The following is a 17,097-nucleotide window of genomic DNA, read 5'->3' on the forward strand; positions in this document are numbered from 1 at the left end:
TAATTTCTATATTTTTAGTAGAGATGGGGTTTCGCCATGTTGGCCAGGTTGGTCTCGAACTCTTGACTTCAGGTGATCCTGCCTCAGCCTCCCAAAGTGCTGGGATTTCAGGCGTGAGCCACGGTGCCTGGCCAGGAGCTCTCTTTCTATAAGAACGTGAATCCTATCAGAGCAGGGCCCTACCCCCGGGACTCATTCAACCTTAATGACTTCCTTACTCCAAGCACAGTCATACTGGGGGTCCGGGCTCCAACATCTGCATTTAGGGTGGACATAATTCAGTCCATAGCACCACCTTTCTCTCTCCTTTGCACCTCAGTGATGGATCTGCCCATTCATTTTATCTGCACATAGTAAGCACCTGCTGTGTGCAAGGCCCTGGGTGGCTCTGTGTTGAGTACATCTGCAGAGTGCCTCCTGCCAGACCGTGCTGGGCTCTTCTACACACCTGGCTACACTTATTTCTTATTTCTTTTCTTTTTTTCTTTTTTTTGAGACAGAGTCTCACTCTCTCGCCCAGGCTGGAGTGCAGTGGCGCAATCTCAGCTCACTGCAAGCTCCACCTCCCGGGTTCATGCCATTCTCCCGTCTCAGCCTCCTGAGTAGCTGGGACTACAGGCGTCCGCCACCACGCCCGGCTAATTTTTTGTATTTTTAGTAGAGATGGTGGTTCACCGTGTTACCCAGGATGGTCTCAATCTCCTGACTTTGTGATCCGCCCACCTCGGACTCCCAAAGTGCTGGGATTACAGGCGTGAGCCACCGTGCCTGGCCCACACTTATTTTTTATAGCCAGCCCGGAAGTCATTACTAGAGGGCCCTCCCTGCACGCTATGGCTGTGGTGTGTGAGTGGATGCCCAGACAGCCAGGGTGTTTCCTCAACAATTTTAGAAAAAATTGTTATGTGAAAAGCATCTGTTGATCGTTGTTTTTTTTTTGTTTTTTTTTGTTTTTTTTTTTTTGTTTTTTTTTTTTTTTAGACAAGGTCTCACTCTGTTCCCCAGGCTGGAGTGCAATGGTGTGATCATGGCTCACTGTAGTGTCAGCCTCCTGGGCTCAAGTGATCTTCCCACCTCAGCCTCCTGGGTAGCTGGGACTACAGGCACGCACCACCATGCCCAGCTAATTTTTGTATTTTTTGCAGAGACAAGAGTTTCACCGTGTTGGCCAGCCTGGTCTCAAACTCCTGGGCTCAAGCGATTCTCCTGCTTCGGCCTCTCAAGTGCCGGAGTTACAGGTGTGACACATCAAGTGCAGTCCCACACAGACTCCCGGTTGACTGCCTGGGTGACCTTGGGTGGTCTTTGTTTCTGGGGTGCTACCTCCCTTGTTGGTTCTCTTAACCCAGCTCTCAGACCTGTCAACGGCCCTTCTGCTGAACACCTGCCTGAGGATCGTTGGCGTGTGTTATCTGTTTCCTGCTGGGATCATGACAGACACAACTGGAAAAAAGCCCCGGCGAGCAAGGCCTGGGCCTGAGTCCACAGGGGGGTCCAGAGGGGAGCCCCCTCCCCCTGCAGTCCAGGCAGGCTTAAGAACCCTGAGGCAGGGTGGTGACTACGGGGGAAGCCCTCGGGGCAGTTAGGTGCACACACAGTCACCCATGCCCCTGTGAGGAGCAGCTGTGGCTCATTTCACAGGCCAGGCTACTGCAGTACAGAGAGGGTGAGTGACTTCCCGAAGGACACACAGCAGGAAAGGCACAGGGTTAAAAACAGCCCTGCCTGCCTGCAGCCCGAGTGTCCTTTCACAGTGACCTCTGGGCCCCTGCAGGTGCTGGCCCCACACTGAGACTGCTTGTTCTGATCCCCTTCACCCTCCTGCCCTGCTTTCCCTGACACCAAGGCACTCCCCAACTCCTGCAGCCTACCTGGCCCCAGCTGGCACGTGAGGCTGCCTCAGCCCCAGGAAAGGGCGTGGTTACAGTGTAACAAACTGTGTGTCTCTGTCTCCATCATAAGAGATTCAGAAAGATTACAGTCAGAGCAGGCCTCATCCTGGGCCCAGTAAGGGGGCCCCCTTACTCTGACATCTGGGCGTCTACTCTCTGTTCTGTCCCTCCCAGGCTGTGACCTTGGCAAGGGTCGCGCTGTATTGGGGCAGGGGCCTTGTGCAGAGAACTCCTGGCCTTCCCCGGCCATCTGCTTGTGGCTTGGATTACAAAGTACCATTATTTATTCTTTGGCTTCTTCCTGCCTGCCTGCCTTCCCCAGCGGGGAGAGAGAGAGAGAGAGAGAGAGAGAGAGAGTGTGTGTGTGTGTGTGTGTGTGTGTGCTTTACCTTGAGAAGAAAATTGATTCAGGCTTCTGTAAACCTCCCAACTGACTTCCTGCATCAAGTTGAGAAATGGAGCTGGGCTGGGTGCTGACTGATCACGGCTCCCTGATGGGATCCCTGCCTCCCCCGAAGCCTGAGGGACCAGGCTGGACAACACTGAACCCCAAAGCCTTCATCTGGTCATAAACCCCCAGCTCCTGCCTGCAGCCCCAGGGGGTTAGGCCACGCAGGGAGGGGCAGGGCACATGCCAGGTAGGGAGGCCCATTAGCAGGGTGCAGGCGCCAGGTGGGCACTCGGCCCCCTTGAAAAGCCTTGGTGCACGGAGGCTGAGCTGATGTGCAGCTCCCGCAGGGCACTCCGAGCTGGCATGCATGCTGGCAGCTGTGTAGCCCATCTGGGAGAGAGTGCGTGGGGCACAGGCCAGGCAAGTGGGGGACTGGGATCCCCAGAGGAGGGGACTCAGAAGTGGGGGCTCCCAAAGAAACACAATCCAGGGCCATTTGTTTCAACTCCTCTCAGCTACTGCGTGCTGGGGACACAGAGGTGGATGGGGGCTGTCCCCGTCCTGTGCTGTGTTAGGTGCTTTCCCTGTGCTGGAATCCTGTAAGGCGGAGACTCTGTCCACTTTTGCATGAGGAAACATGTTTCACAGAACTTGACTATTTTGCCCAGGGTCATTTTCATGATAAGGGTTCTAGTACTGATTGTGTAACAAACTCAGTCACTTAAAGCATTTCATAAATCACTTTGTTTTGTTCCCAAATCTGTAGACTGGGGAGGACTTGGCGAGGATAGTGTGGCTGTGCTCTGTGGCATCTGCTAGGGCAGCTCCGTGAGCCGAGGTAGCCACCTCGGAGCGGGGCCACCCCCTTGGCCTGCTGGCTGGAGCCGGTGGTGTGTTGGGAGCTCTCTGAGGCTGTGTGCTGGGAGCTCTCTGTGGGCTGGAGGCGCCTTCCTGGGTTTCCTCACGCTGCAGCAGCCGGATTCCAAGAGCAAGCGGCCTAGAGACAGGAACTGCCCTTCTCTCCAAGCCCAGGTCCAGAAGTACATCACTGCTGCCATATGTTGTTGGCCAAGCAGACACAGGTCCTGCCTCTCAACGAAAGGATGCTAAAGAATGTGTGGCCATCTTTAGTCTACCTTAGTGACAGAGCCAGGACTTGAACCTAGATCTTCAGGATGCCTCCAAGCCCTCCTGCACTGGGTCTTCGGGAAGACACGTGGGCTCACGCTGGGAATTGTGTGCCTGGGCCTGACTCGTCCAGCTGTCTGGGCCATCGCACAGACCTTTGTGTAAACTAGGGGAAGTCCCTATTTGGAAAGCAGGTGTCCGCGAGGCCGGGACGGCCGGGGTCTGCTGGCTGCAGAGGTCTGATGTGGCTCCTTTCTTCTGGCAGCTGTGTATCCCTGCCCCATCCAGATGGCTCCCAGGCACTCCATGCTGCTGCCTGACTGTCCCCAGGCACAGACTAATGGTCTGGGGTGGGTATCTGCCTGAGAGGGGCCCCTGACTTCCCTCCCTGAGACTTTTACACAAGGCTTGGGAGATGTCAGGGGCCACGCTTACTACCCATGGAGAGAGACCATCTGCAGGAGAGAGGAAGGAGGCCACGAGGCTGAGAAGAGCACACAGGAGAGCCAGACAGGAGTCCCACAGCTCTCCCAGCCCTGGTTCCAGCGTCCTCCAGGCAGCTGCATGGCAGGCCTTGGGTCCTCCCACCGCATACCCTGTGCGGGTTTCTGTCGCTGGCCACTGAGAAAGGCCGGGCTGAGGAGCCTGGCCGCAGCAGCCTGGAGTCCTGAGCCTTCTGGGGCTGCCCCTGGAGATGGCGCTGGCCTCCTCACAGGCCTTCCTGCCCATCAGGCCCCTCTCCACCCCACCGCCTAAGAGAAAGTTCGAGACGCACACCAGACCCCGTGGCTCCCCTGCGTTCAGACCACCAGCGGCTCCCGTGATCTGGCGCCTGCAGGCCTCACCACCCTCCTTCCTCCTTCTTGGCCGGCCACTAGCCTCTCGGAGCTTTGCTGGGGGCCTGTGGGCAGAGAGGCACTGGCTTTAACGCCGCCTGGAATTCAGCCCGGCCTGTGCCCCGAGGAAGGTGGGTGGGGGATGGTGGGGCGGTGTCGACTGCGCCCCCTGCTGGCCAGCACTAGTTACTGCGGGAGGGGCTCCAAGGCCCAGCGGGGATGCCTCCCGCGTCCCCATTGCACAGAAGCAGCAGGCCTTAGACCTTGCCAGGCCACGCGGCTGGAAAGGAGCAGAGCAAGGATTTGGAATCGGGACTGTCTGACCAGCCCGTGTGCTTTTCAACACAGAGGGGCCTCCATTTTCTCTAACCCAGGAGGCCCTCTGTCCTCTTCCTCCTGCCACACACACTTAGAAAACACCCTTGATTCACAAACCTTGGCTAAGCATAAATTCAGGCTGAGGCTGACCCAGAGCTGCCAGGAGCTCTTGGGCGGGAGGGGTAAGCATGGTGGTTAGGGGTGTGGCCAGAGATCCATGAGGTGCTATCCTGCCCCCAGGGGCCACATTCTGAGGAACAAGTCAGTGCAAAAGTTACTCAACAAATACTTATTGAATGAATACATACATAAGTAAATAAATAAACTCACTGACCAGGACAAAGCCATCAAACTTTTGGCCAATTGGCAAACTCTTACTCATCCTTCAAAATCCCTTTCCTTCCAGGAAGGAAGCATCTTTGGAACCCCTTTAAGAAGGTCACCTGGCATATTTCACGTTAGAGCAGAATGTGATACATTTTATAGTCGGGTACAGGGTGCTATGGGATGTTGGGGGCAGGAGCAGACTCTTGCAGAGGTGGCAATGGGAGGGGGAGGAGGAAGGAGGACACCTGGGGAAGGCTTCCTGGAGGAAGAGAAGGCTTTTGACATGGACCTGGAAGAATGGGGCAGTACTGGGACAGGGGAAGGTAAATGGTAGTGGCGTTGTGGTGGTGAGAGGTGACAGCGTGCTAGCAGCCCTCACAGCCCTCGCTTGCTCTCGGCGCCTCCTCGGCCTTGGCGCTCACTCTGGCCGCGCTTGAGGAGCCCTTCAGCCTGCCGCTGCACTGTGGGAGCCCCTTTCTGGGCTGGCCAAGGCCAGAGCCGCCTCCCTCAGCTTGTGGAGAGGTGTGGAGGGAGAGGCGCCGGCGGGAACCAGGGCTGCACGCGGTGCTTGCGGGCCAGTGTGAGTTCCGGGTGGGCGTGGGCTCAGTGGGCCCTGCACTCGGAGTGTCCAGCCGGCCCTGCCGGCCCTGGGCAGTGAGGGGCTTAGCACCTGGGCCAGCAGCTGCTGTGCTCGACTTCTCGTTGGCCTTAGCTGCCTCCTGTGGGGCAGGGCTGGGGACCTGCAGCCTGCCATGTCTGAGCCTCTCCACCGCGGTGGGCTCCTGTGCGGCCCGAGCCTCCCTGACGAGTGCCGCCCCCTGTTCCACAGCGCCCAGTCCCATCCACTGCCCAAGGGCTGAGGAGTGCCGGTGCAGGGCGCAGGACTGGAAGGCAGCTCCACCTGCAGCCCCGGTGCGGGATCCACTGGGTGAAGCCAGCTGGGCTCCTGAGTCTGGTGGGGACTTGAAGAATCTTTATGTCTAGCTAGGGGATTGTAAATACACCAATCAGCACCCTGTGTCTAGCTCAAGGTTTGTGAATGCACCAATTGGCACTCTGTATCTAGTTACTCTGGTGGGGACTTGGAGAACCTTTATGTCTAGCTAAGGGATTGTAAATACACCAATCAGCACTCTGTATCTAGCTCAAGGTTTGTAAACACACCAATCAGCACCCTGTGTCTAGCTCAGGGTTTGTGAATGCACCAATCGACACTCTGTATCTGGCTACTCTAGTGGGGACTTGGAGAACCTCTGTGTGGACACTCTGTATCTAGCTAATCTAGTGGGGAAGTGGAGAACCTTTGTGTCTAGCTCAGGGATTGTAAACGCACCAATCAGCACCCTGTCAAAACAGACCACAAGTCTCTCTGTAAAATGGACCAATCAGCAGGATGTGGGTGGGGGCCAGATAAGAGAATAAAAGCAGGCTGCCAGAGCGAGCAGTGGCAACCTGCTTGGGTTCAGTTCGACGCTGTGAAAGTATTGTTCTTTCGCTCTTTGTGATAAAACTTGCTGCTGCTCACTCTTTGGGTCCACACTGCCTTTATGAGCTGTAACACTCACTGGGAAAGTCTGCACCTTCACTCCTGAAGCCAGCGAGACCATGAACCCACCAGGAGAAATGAGCAACTCCAGACGCGCTGCCTTAGGAGCTGTAACACTCACTGCGAAGGTCTGCAGCTTCACTCCTGAGCCAGCGAGACCGCGAACCCACCAGAAGGAAGAAACTCCGAACACATCCGAACATCAGAAGGAGCAAACTCCAGACACGCCAACTTTAAGAACTGTAACACACCGCGAGGGTATGCGGCTTCATTCTTGAAGTCAGTGAGACCAAGAACCCACCAATTCCGGATACAGTGGGAACAGGTCAGTGAATTTGTCTCCCAGGGCTGCATGACCAAGCACCACAAGCTGGGCGGCTTAGAACACCAGGAGTTTATTCTCATGGTGCTGGAGGATGGAAGTCTAAAATCCAGGTGTGGGCAGGGCCATGCTCTCTGAAGTCTCCAGGGCAGGATCCTTCCCTGCCTCTTCCTAGTTTCTGGTGGTTGCCAACCATAGTTGGCCTTCCTTGGCTCCGTAGACACATGACTCCAATCTCTGCCTCCATCCTCACCTGGCCTTCTCCTGCGTCTCTCTTTGCAAACTTACCTCTTCTTATAAGGACCCCAGCCACTGGGTTTGGGGCCCACCCTAATCCAGCATGGCCTCTTCTTAACTGAATGACATCTGCAAAGACCCTGTTTCCCAGTAAGGTCCCATCCACAGGTACTGGGGCTTCAGGCTTGAGCATATCTTTGGGGGGCCGCAATTCCACCTACAACAGTAAAGTCGTGGAAGTTGGGGAGACTTATTCACATTTGGGAAGCTGGTGAGTGCAGGGGCTGGAGACGTAAGTGGGGTGGTCACAGAGGGTCCCAAAGACCCTGGGACCTGCATCCTGTGTCAGGTGTTTTGCGGGGTGGGGCGTCAGCTAGGAGGCTGGAGAGGTCTTACGGCACTCCACGGCCCCAGGGTTGAGCCCGGATTGGGGGGCAGCCTTCTTGTGAGACAGTCTCTTGCCTCATCTGCCTTAACCCCTCTGACAGCCCCGGAGCTGGCGATGTTACTGGCTCCAGGTCACAGAGGAGGAAACCCACGTTCACAAAGTGAAGCAGTCAGCTCCAGGGGGCACAGGTGGTTAGTGGAGAGCTGAGATTTGAGCCCAGCTCCAGCCGTCCTCACAGCCTGCAGCTGAATTAAACCCTCCTCCCAAGACTGGTTTTGTTACGTTTTGGTTTGTTTTGGAAGAGCTTTATTGAGACAGAATTCATATACTATCCAGTTCACCTATTTAAAGTGTACGTCGATTTTTAGTGTATTCACAGATTTGTGCAACCATCACCATGATCAATTTTAGAACATTTTTCTTTTTTCTTTTTCTTTTTTTTTTTTTTTGAGATGGAGTTTCACTCTCGTTACGCAGGCTGGAATGCAATGGTGCGATCTCGGCTCACTGCAACCTCAGCCTCCCGAGTTCAAGCGATTCTTCTGTCTCAGCCTCCCAATTAGCTGCGATTACAGGTGCCCCCCACCATGCCCGGCTAATTTTCGTATTTTTAGTAGAGACAGGGTTTCAGACGAGGTTTCACTGTGTTGGCAAGGCTGGTCTTGAACTCCTGACCTCAGGTGATCCGCCCAGCCTGGCCTCCCAAAGCACTGGGACTACAGGCGTGAGCCACCACACCTGGCCAGGACATTTTCATCACCTCAAAAAAAAAAAAAAAAAAAAAAAAAAAAGCAGTAACCTCCCAATTCCCCCATCATCCTCAACCCTAAACAACCATGGATCTATTTTCTGTCTCTATGACTTGCCTTCTCTGGACCATTTCATGTAAATGGAATTATGCAAAGTGTGTGTGCCCTTTGTGTCTGGCTTCTTTCGCTCGGTGTGTTTTCCCGGTCCCTCCCCTGGAGGCTGCGTAGTGTGTGTCAGTACTTCCTCTCTACTGCTAGAGAATGTTCCATTGTGTGGATCCGTTCATGAGTTGACAGGCATTTGGGCTGTTCCCACACTTTGGCTGTTACGAACAATGCTGCTGTGGGCATCTGTGTACGTGTGTGTTGTGTTGACATGTTTTTAATTCTTTTAAGCCTGTGTGTGGAATTGCTAGGTCATATGGAAACCCTGCGTTTGACTGAGGAACTTACCAGACTGTTTTCCAAAGGGGCCGTGCCGTTTCGCATTCCCACCAGCAGGTCCAAGGGTTCCGATTCCTCCATACCCTCTATGATACTTGTCATTGTGTTTTTGAGTAAGCGACCTAGTGGGTGTGAGCCGTGTTATCGACTGAATTGTGTTCCCCAAAATTCATGTGTTGAAGCCGTAGTCCCCAAAGTGACTGTATTTGGAGACAGGGCCTTAAGGGGGTAATTAAAGGTAAAGGAGGTCAGGAGAGTGGGGCCCTGATCCGAGAGGACTGGCATCCTTAGAAGAGGAGGAAGAGATGCCAGATTTTTCTCTCTTTCTCTTATCATGTGAGGACGTAGTGAGAAGGCAGCTGTCTGTAAGCCTGGAAGAGAGGCTTCGTGAGAAACCAACCCTGATGGGACCTTGATCTCAGGATTGCCAGACTCCAGAACAGTAAAGAAATAAATTTCTGTTGTTTCAGCCACCCCGTGGCCTAAACAGACCGAAACAAGTGGCCTCTCATTTTAGTTTTGGTTGCCTTTCTCTGATGGCCAATAACGTTGAACGTCTTTTCACGTGCTGTTTGCTGTTTGTGTATCTTCTTTGAAGAGATGAATGTCTTTTTCCATCCTTGGCCCATTTTTGAATTGGATTATTAGCCTTTTCATTTTTAGGTGGTAAGAGTTCTTTATATGTTCTGGATTCACATCCTTTCTCAGATGCAGGATTTGCAAATATTCTTTCCCATTCGGTGGTTCATCTTTTCACTTCTTAATGAATCCTCTGAAGAACAATAGTTTTTACTTTTAATGAAAGCCACCTATCTTATCTATTTTTTCCCCTCTTGTTGCCTGTGCTTTTGATGTCATAGCGAAGAAACCATTCCTAATCCAAGGTCATGATGAATTGTATTTATTTATTTTTACTTAAAAAAATTTTTTTTTTGTTTTTGAGATGGAGTTTTGCTCTTGTTGCCCAGGCTGGAGTGCAATGGCATGATCTTGGCTCACCGCAACCTCTGCCTCCCAGGTTTAAGTGATTCTCCTGCCTCAGCCTCCCGAGTAGCTGGGATTACAGGCATGCGCCACCATGCCTGGCTAATTTTGTGTTTTTAATAGAGATGGGGTTTCTCCATGTTTGTCAGGCTGGTCTCAAACTCCCGACCACAGGTGATCTGCCTGCCTTGGCCTCCCAGAGTGTTGGGATTACAGGTGTGAGCCACCACACCCGGCTACTTTTATTATTTTTTAAATCAAGAATGGGGTCTTGGCTGGGCGTGGTGGCTTATGGGCGGGTGGATCACCTGAGGTCAGGAGTTGGAGAGCAGCCTGGCCAACATGGCGAAACCCTGTCTCTACTAAAAATACAAAAATTAGCCGGGCATGGTGGCAGGTGCCTGTAATCCCAGCTACTTGGGAGACTGAGGCAGGAGAATCGCTTGAGCCCAGGAGCCAAGGGTTGCAGTGAGGCGAGATTATGCCACTGCCCTACAGCCTGGGCGACAGAGTGAGAGTCTGTCTCAAAAAATAGAAAATTTAAAAAAAGAGAATGGGGTCTTGCTATATTGTCCAGGCTGGTCTTGAATTCCTGAGCTCAAACTATCCTCCTGCCTCTGCCTCCCTAGGTGCTAGGATATAGGCGTGAGCCACCATGCACCGTGTCTGACCGGTGATGATCTATTTACTCCTGTATTTTCTTCTAAGAATTTTATAGTTTTAGCTCTTATGTTTAGGTCTTTGATCCACATTTAGCTAATTTTTGTATATGATTGTTTAAAATAACCTTTCAAATGTGCTTTTCTTCTGCTCTCACACCAAAACTACAATAATCAACACAGAAGACTTCTTTGACCCCAAAATATGTGGGGGTTTCTCCTCCCCAGTAAGCGAGCAATCAATTCTGTAGCAAACACCAGCTGGGGGTCCTCTTCTTCAGTTCTGACACTACCTGGAAACAGCATCAGATCCCACAGGTTGGGGGCTCCGTCTCCAAAACTCCCCCCTGCTTCAGACACTAGTCACGAGCCTGGGCCTTGGGAACTTCTGACTGACCGGCTTCTGGTTGGGTCACTCACGACCCCCTCTTTGGGTTTGCTTAACTTGCTGGAGCTGCTCACAGAACTCAGGAAAACATTTACTTACATTTATTGGTTTGTTATAAAGGAAACTACAAAGGATACAGATGAAGAGATGCTCTGGCCGGGTGTGGTGGCTCCCGCCTGGAATCCCAGCATTTTGGGAGGCTGAGACGGGAGGATCACTTGAGGCCAGGAGTTTGATACCAACCTGGGCAACATCGCAATACCCCATGTCTACAGAAAGTAAAAAATTAGCCTGATGTGGTGATGTCCACCTATAGTTCCAGCTATTCTGGAGGCTGAAGTGAGAGGATTGCTCGATCCCAGGAGGTCGAGGCTACAGTGAGCTGTGGTCACACCACTGCATTCCAGTCTAGGCAATAGAGCCTGTCTCAAAAAAAAAAAAGATGCCTCAAGTAAGGCATAGGGAAGAGGTGAGGGGCTTCCACATCCTCCCTGGGTGCACCACCCTCCAGGGACCTGTTCAGCCATCTGGAAGCCCCGAACCCATCCTTTTGGGGGTTTATGGAGGCTTCTTCACATCGGCACGATCAACAACCATGTAGGAATGTGACTGGACAGAAAGAACATGATTTGAACCCAGCAAGGCCTGTCTGTTCTGGCCTCTCTTGGCTCCTCTGTGTAGCATTCCTTCCTCCAGAGTATGGGGCAGGACCCTTTCTGGAATGAGGTTGTGTGTATGTGTGTGTGTGTTTAGACGGAGTCTCACTCTGTCGCCCAGGCTGGAGTGCAGTGGCGCGATCTCGGCTCACTGCAAGCTCCGCCTCCCGGGTTCACGCCATTCTCCTGCCTCAGCCTCCGGAGTAGCTGGGACTACAGGTGCCCGCCACCACATCTGGTTAATTTTTTGGGTATTTTTTAGTAGAGACAGGGTTTTACCATGTTAGCCAGGATGGTCTCGATCTCCTGACCTCGTGATCCACCTGCCTCAGCCTCCCAAAGTGCTGGGATTACAGGCATGAGCCACTGCGCCCTGGTCTGGTTTTTTTTGTTTTTGTTTTTGTTTTTTGAGATGGAGTCTCTGTTGCCCAGGCTGGAGTACAATGGCGCGATCTCGGCTCACTGCAACCTCTGCCTCCTGGGTTCAAGCAATTCTCCTGCCTCAGCCTCCCGAGTAGCTGGGAATACAGGCACCTGCCACCATGCCTGGCTAAGTTTTGTATTTTTAGTAGAGACAGGGTTTCACCATGTTGGCCAGGCTGCTCTTGAACTCCTGAGCTCAGATGATCCACTTGCCTCGGCCTCCCAAAGTGCTGGGATTACAGGCATGAGCCACCGCACCTGGCTGAATGAGGGTCTTTTGGCCCACAATCTGATTAGAGTCCTGCCTTGGGCATATAAAAGGAAAACAGAAGGAGGTCAGAGAGATTCTGCTTTCTGCAGCCTGCTCCTGAGGCCTAAAGTGCCCCAACATTATAACGAAAGATTATAGCAAGGGCTATGGGGGTTACAAGTCAGGAACCGTGGATGAAATCCCATATATCAGTTTCACAGTGGTGTAAGGGAGCAGTCCAACTTCATCCATTTATATGTGGATATTTAGCTGTCCCAGCACCATTTGTTAAAAAGACCATTTCTCCCCACCCCCAACTGAATTGTCTTGACACCCTGTCAAATATCAACTGACCATAAATGTAAGGGCTTATTCTAGACTTTCAATTCTATTCCATTCATCTATCTTTACGCTAGTACCACACAATCTTGATTACCATAGCTTTGTAGTATGTTTTGAAATGAAGCAGTGTGACTTCTCTAATTTTATTCTTTTTTCAGGATTGTTTTGGTTATTATGGTTCCCTTGTATTTCTGTATGAACTTCAGTTTCAGCTTGTCAATTTCTGCCAAGATTGTCAGGGGAGGTTTTGATAGATTTTGACTCCGCAGAATCCATATGTCGATTTGTTGAGTTATTGCCATTGTAACACTAGTAAGCCTTCTGATCCATGAATGTGGCAAGATTGGCTTTTAATGTGATAACATTTTTTGAGTAGGTAGAAGTTATCTGTCGTGCAGAGTTAAAAAGAGTACAGAAGAGTGACTTGCCCAGCTTCCTGGGGCCTCCCCAGAGGCAGCCACTGATGTCAGACTCCCAGTGTGTCCAGCGACAGTTTGTACACAGGCAAGCAAGTCCCGTGTGCATTCTCCGTACTGAGCCCCAGTTGTGCACCTGTGCACAGAGACCGTGCGGGTGGGTGTGCATCCTTCCCCTGACCTGGGTGTGCTTCCTCTAGAGGGCTGGAGCCTGAAGCTTTTATCTGAAGGACTGATCTTGGACTACCAGATTCTGCTTTGTCTGTACATGCAGAGTCAGAAGTAGCTGGGAATTCAGATCTCCCAGGGCAGCCCTCAGCCAACCACTAGCAGTGGGGGTAAGGAAAGCCCTGCTGCCACAAGCTCACCCTGCAGAGTCCCCTACAGGGTCAGGCTTAGCTCCCTCCTGAAGCTTCAGCTGAGACCACGACCTGCTAGGCATCCTCCCCTCCCCAGAGAGGCTGGCGGAGAGGCGTATGCAAGGGAGCGGAGGCTGGGACCGGCCCGGCTTCTTCCCCGGGCCCGCTAGGGGGCGCGCGCCCTCTCCGCGGAGTTCTCTGCTGCTGGGAAGGCGAGCCGGCCCCCGGGACTTCAGAGCCGGAGCCAGGCACTTAGCTTCCTTCTGGGGACCCTGAGGCACGGGAAGAGAAGGGACCTCCTGCTCGCAGTGTCCCCCTTGCGCTGTCCCTGCTAGTGACAGGAAGCTCTTCTCACCCTGTTCGTGGGCCCGGCTGTGTCTCCTCCTCGCCTTCACCTGCCGTTGTGACCTGCAGTGCCCTCCCCAGCTTGATCCCTACCTGGAACCCCTCGGTGTCCTGTCCCAGGCCACGCTGAAGGTGGGCGGTGCGTGCTGCGGGTGACTGGCTGAATGAATGAATGAGCCAACACAGGAATGCCCGTGGACACCACCAGGGGTCTTTCTGCGAAAGTGCGGTGACACCAGGGGTCCTCCTGCGGCCCCGGGAGGGCCCAGACTCGGCCTGAGGGGCTCAGCACCGGCTCCTCCCATTCCCTTCCTTCCTCCTGACTTGCTGTGGTTCTTTAAGTTTGGTAATTAATGTCATTCTAAGTAAAGGAAAAACAAGCAGTCGAGTCATTCGCATGAATTGTTGGGCTCATCATTTTACGGTGCGATGCCGTCTTAGGCGCAGAGCGTCTCACTTGTGCACTAACGCGCCACAATGGCACATGGGTAGTGCACAGTTCGTACAGGCACGTGTATTTCGATCTTACAGGACAATGGAAAGGCTGCACAAATCTAAACCCACTGTCACCTCTGGGGCTCGTGCATTCTGCCAACACCCCATAGGAACCCGGATCTCAGACGTCCCAGGTACGTCAGCCCCACCAGAATTCTGTGCTCATAGGACACGGTGAACGCTGAATGTGGACAGGGCGGCAAGGACCCGGACACTTGGATTACACAGGTCTCCTCTGCTCACACACCCTGACGCTGTCCCATTGAACTTCACTTACAAAACACGAGTTTAAAGATAAAATCATCTGTTTCACGATATGGCTATGTTAAAAAAGATAAATTATTGATAATTCCATGGTGGTGACAGCAGAACATTAAACCAACGTGGGGCCCTTTGAGTGAAGCTCTGTGTGATGCCATGTGCTCCAGGTCCGTGACGCTGACCTTGCCAATGTCTGGAGGGAGAAATTAAACATGTGCCTAGGTCGGAGGTGCTGGAACCTCCTGGGGTGGATCCCAAGGGAGGAATCCGGAGAGTGGTGCGATTGTGGGGGTCCCTGACGTGTGCGATTGTGGGGGTCCCTGACGTGCAGATCCAGTGAACGCAGATGTGTTGTTGGGTGTGAGTGAAAGGCAGCACAGACCTCTTTCAGAGAAGCGGTTGAGTGTCTGGACTTGAAGTGGGACCCTTGCCAGTTCTGCCATTAGCAAGCTGTAAGGAGGTGACTGAAACTCACACCAGCCACTCACCTATCCTTCATTCTCCGGTTCACCCACCTGCATCTACCTGTCTACCTTTTGATGCATCCATCCAACAGTTATTTTTTGAAGTCTACTAGAGTCAGACACTGTGGGGACCATGTTGTAAACTAGATCTCTGCCCTAAGTCCCTTCAGTAAGATGAAGATGAGTTATTTATCAAGATCATATTTGTGGCCAGGCGCAGTAGAGGAATCTGCCAGAGAAAGTGCAGGTCCCCACGAGGGAGGGTGGGGCTGGGGCCAGAGGGCCCTCTGAGCATAGCCACTCATCTCAAGGGGCTCAAGGGATGGGCATTACTGATCCCATGTTACAGAGGGGCGAGGTGCCCGCAGCAGGGCCGTGGCGCTCAGTGATGAGTGGGGTGGGAACCAGCCTTGCCATGTGCAGCCACTGTGGGTTCTGAGATTGGGGGCAGCAAACCAGCATAAGCAGTCTTGCTCAACCCTGTGAGCAGCAGGGCAGGGAAAGGGAAGGAAAGAGGCCTCCCAGGCACACAGTAGTGTCGAGCCGGCAGCAGCCACTTCTCATAACCACCAGGGGTCTGCGTCAGCACCCCATTTTACAGGTGGGAAAATGGGGGCTCCAAGAAGTGAAGTGAGCAGCCCGGGCTCTGGAGCCCTCACAGCCTCACGGCCCCGACCCCCACCTCCGTGGCTGACTCCCCCTGCACAGGGGGCACCCCCACCCCGCCTTCCTTCCTGAATATGATTGATCACCCAGGAACATGACAGCCATGGAGGAACTGAGAAAAGGAAAGAAAGTCCCAGCCCAGCCCTCGGCGCCAGTGGTTCCTGGGCCACGTCCACGTCGCAGCCGTGTGTGGATGCCACATTGGTCACTGTGACTGTGAGGGAGTCACAGGGCTGCTTCTGGCCAAAAGCCCCTTCATGTCCCTGTGGCTACCCTCGCTGTGTGGTTATTTCAAAACATTGAAATAACTTTTTTCTCATATTAGAAGTTATATATACTGTAGTTATTACAAAGCCATTTAAAAATCAGAAAAAAGAAAAAGTCACCCAGAACCTCCCTGCCACCTGGCAGCATGAGTCCTTCCCATCACACCTTCTCATTTGCCCATTTCCTTATTCGTTTGGCATGTATGTATCGGGCACCTGCTGTGTGCCAGGCACTGGGGGGCCCTGGGGAACGGCAGTAGCAAAACAAATCCATACAGAGACGGAGGGACCTGGGACCTGAGGTTTCATCTATTCACCCCATTCAACAACGCGTCACAGTGTGGCTGTCTACACTGGTAGTGTCTGCGCTCAACGCAGTGTGCCTCCGGGCACTTCTTCCATGTGTCTTATTTGTCCATGTGTCTCATCAACTCTGTCCAGGCGCAACCCCATATCCTGTCAGGAGCAGACACCCAGCTGCTAGGGCAAGTCTCAGGCATGGCCACCTGTGAGGTCACAGTCCCTCTGTGGGCCCCAGTGCCCTATCCTGGGGCCTTCCCATCTTTGCCTGTGCGAGGAGCACCGTTTCTCAAGCCCACTCCTGCCTCTGTGGCCCAGTGCCTCTATAGAACACAGGGCCTGCCTTTTCTGGCAGACAGCCCCAGTTGTCTGTCCAGCCCCAGCAGGGGTGAATGTGGGGAGAGCAGTCGGCCCTATGGACAAAGCTCCCCTGGACTTTGGAGGGCAGGAGTGACAGGACTGAGCCTGTCAGGCCCAGACGGGGTGAAAAGAAGTCAGGAAAGGGGGCGTGAGGTTGTGTGGCAGCAGGAGGTGGGTGGGTGTGTGCTTCACAGCCCGACGGCTCCCCATCCCCAGGGCAACTTTCCAAGGGAGGCCTGCAGTCCTTCAGTTCTCAGCTGCAGTGGCAGAGCTGGGATTTGAACGTGTCCCCAGCAATACGGTTCCTTCCCCCGGTCCTTCCTCAGAACTCAGTGCATTGCCTGCCACGTTGTCTAGGAGAATGAATGAATGAGCCATCTCTGCATCCATCTGCTTGGTAAGGCTTCTAGCCGTGTGCACCCTTGTGCGTGCCACCTCCCTTCTCCAGGTCTGGAGTGGGTGGGCGTGGGCACAGGGAGCCTGGTTTCTGTGGCCCTGGTCACATCACATAATGGAGACACAGAGCCCACCTCAAGTGCCCGGGAGAGCCCCCTCCAGAGAGCAGTATACCCACAAGACTGAAGAAATGGTGACCAACCTCCCGCAAGGCCCACACAGACACACACACAGATATACACACATAGCCACACATGCACCCTCTCATAGACGCACATATGCATACATGCAGACAGACACACATGCACACAACCTACGCATACACACATACAGTACACACATGCTTGCACACAGGTACATGCAGATATACACATGTACACCCATACACATGCACACACACACACACCTGTACACACAGATACATGCACGTACACACACACGTGCGCACAGAGACACATGCGCTTCTCTCCTGCTACTGCTTTCCTTGTC

At 53.2% G+C, this 17,097-nt stretch overlaps 8 annotated features.

Moving 5' to 3' along the window:
- Positions 1,569–2,068: an enhancer, noted in NCBI's record as "H3K27ac-H3K4me1 hESC enhancer chr8:142082933-142083432 (GRCh37/hg19 assembly coordinates)". NCBI's record gives its function as "activates a minimal SCP1, AML or CMV promoter by ChIP-STARR-seq in naive H9 embryonic stem cells {active_cell/tissue: H9 hESC(naive)}" and the evidence as "EXISTENCE:reporter gene assay evidence [ECO:0000049][PMID:30033119]".
- Positions 2,069–3,068: an enhancer, noted in NCBI's record as "H3K27ac-H3K4me1 hESC enhancer chr8:142083433-142084432 (GRCh37/hg19 assembly coordinates)". NCBI's record gives its function as "activates a minimal SCP1, AML or CMV promoter by ChIP-STARR-seq in naive H9 embryonic stem cells {active_cell/tissue: H9 hESC(naive)}" and the evidence as "EXISTENCE:reporter gene assay evidence [ECO:0000049][PMID:30033119]".
- Positions 3,080–3,870: an enhancer, noted in NCBI's record as "H3K27ac-H3K4me1 hESC enhancer chr8:142084444-142085234 (GRCh37/hg19 assembly coordinates)". NCBI's record gives its function as "activates a minimal SCP1, AML or CMV promoter by ChIP-STARR-seq in naive H9 embryonic stem cells {active_cell/tissue: H9 hESC(naive)}" and the evidence as "EXISTENCE:reporter gene assay evidence [ECO:0000049][PMID:30033119]".
- Positions 3,871–4,661: an enhancer, noted in NCBI's record as "H3K27ac-H3K4me1 hESC enhancer chr8:142085235-142086025 (GRCh37/hg19 assembly coordinates)". NCBI's record gives its function as "activates a minimal SCP1, AML or CMV promoter by ChIP-STARR-seq in naive H9 embryonic stem cells {active_cell/tissue: H9 hESC(naive)}" and the evidence as "EXISTENCE:reporter gene assay evidence [ECO:0000049][PMID:30033119]".
- Positions 15,095–15,164: a silencer, noted in NCBI's record as "silent region_19587". NCBI's record gives its function as "represses an Ori minimal core promoter by ATAC-STARR-seq in GM12878 lymphoblastoid cells {active_cell/tissue: GM12878}" and the evidence as "EXISTENCE:reporter gene assay evidence [ECO:0000049][PMID:35858748]".
- Positions 15,195–15,244: a silencer, noted in NCBI's record as "silent region_19588". NCBI's record gives its function as "represses an Ori minimal core promoter by ATAC-STARR-seq in GM12878 lymphoblastoid cells {active_cell/tissue: GM12878}" and the evidence as "EXISTENCE:reporter gene assay evidence [ECO:0000049][PMID:35858748]".
- Positions 15,375–15,524: an enhancer, noted in NCBI's record as "active region_28039". NCBI's record gives its function as "activates an Ori minimal core promoter by ATAC-STARR-seq in GM12878 lymphoblastoid cells {active_cell/tissue: GM12878}" and the evidence as "EXISTENCE:reporter gene assay evidence [ECO:0000049][PMID:35858748]".
- Positions 15,892–16,392: an enhancer, noted in NCBI's record as "H3K4me1 hESC enhancer chr8:142097256-142097756 (GRCh37/hg19 assembly coordinates)". NCBI's record gives its function as "activates a minimal SCP1, AML or CMV promoter by ChIP-STARR-seq in primed H9 embryonic stem cells {active_cell/tissue: H9 hESC(primed)}" and the evidence as "EXISTENCE:reporter gene assay evidence [ECO:0000049][PMID:30033119]".

This window comes from Homo sapiens, chromosome 8 (genome assembly GCF_000001405.40).
Source record: "Homo sapiens chromosome 8, GRCh38.p14 Primary Assembly".
Taxonomy (NCBI): Eukaryota; Metazoa; Chordata; class Mammalia; order Primates; family Hominidae; genus Homo; species Homo sapiens.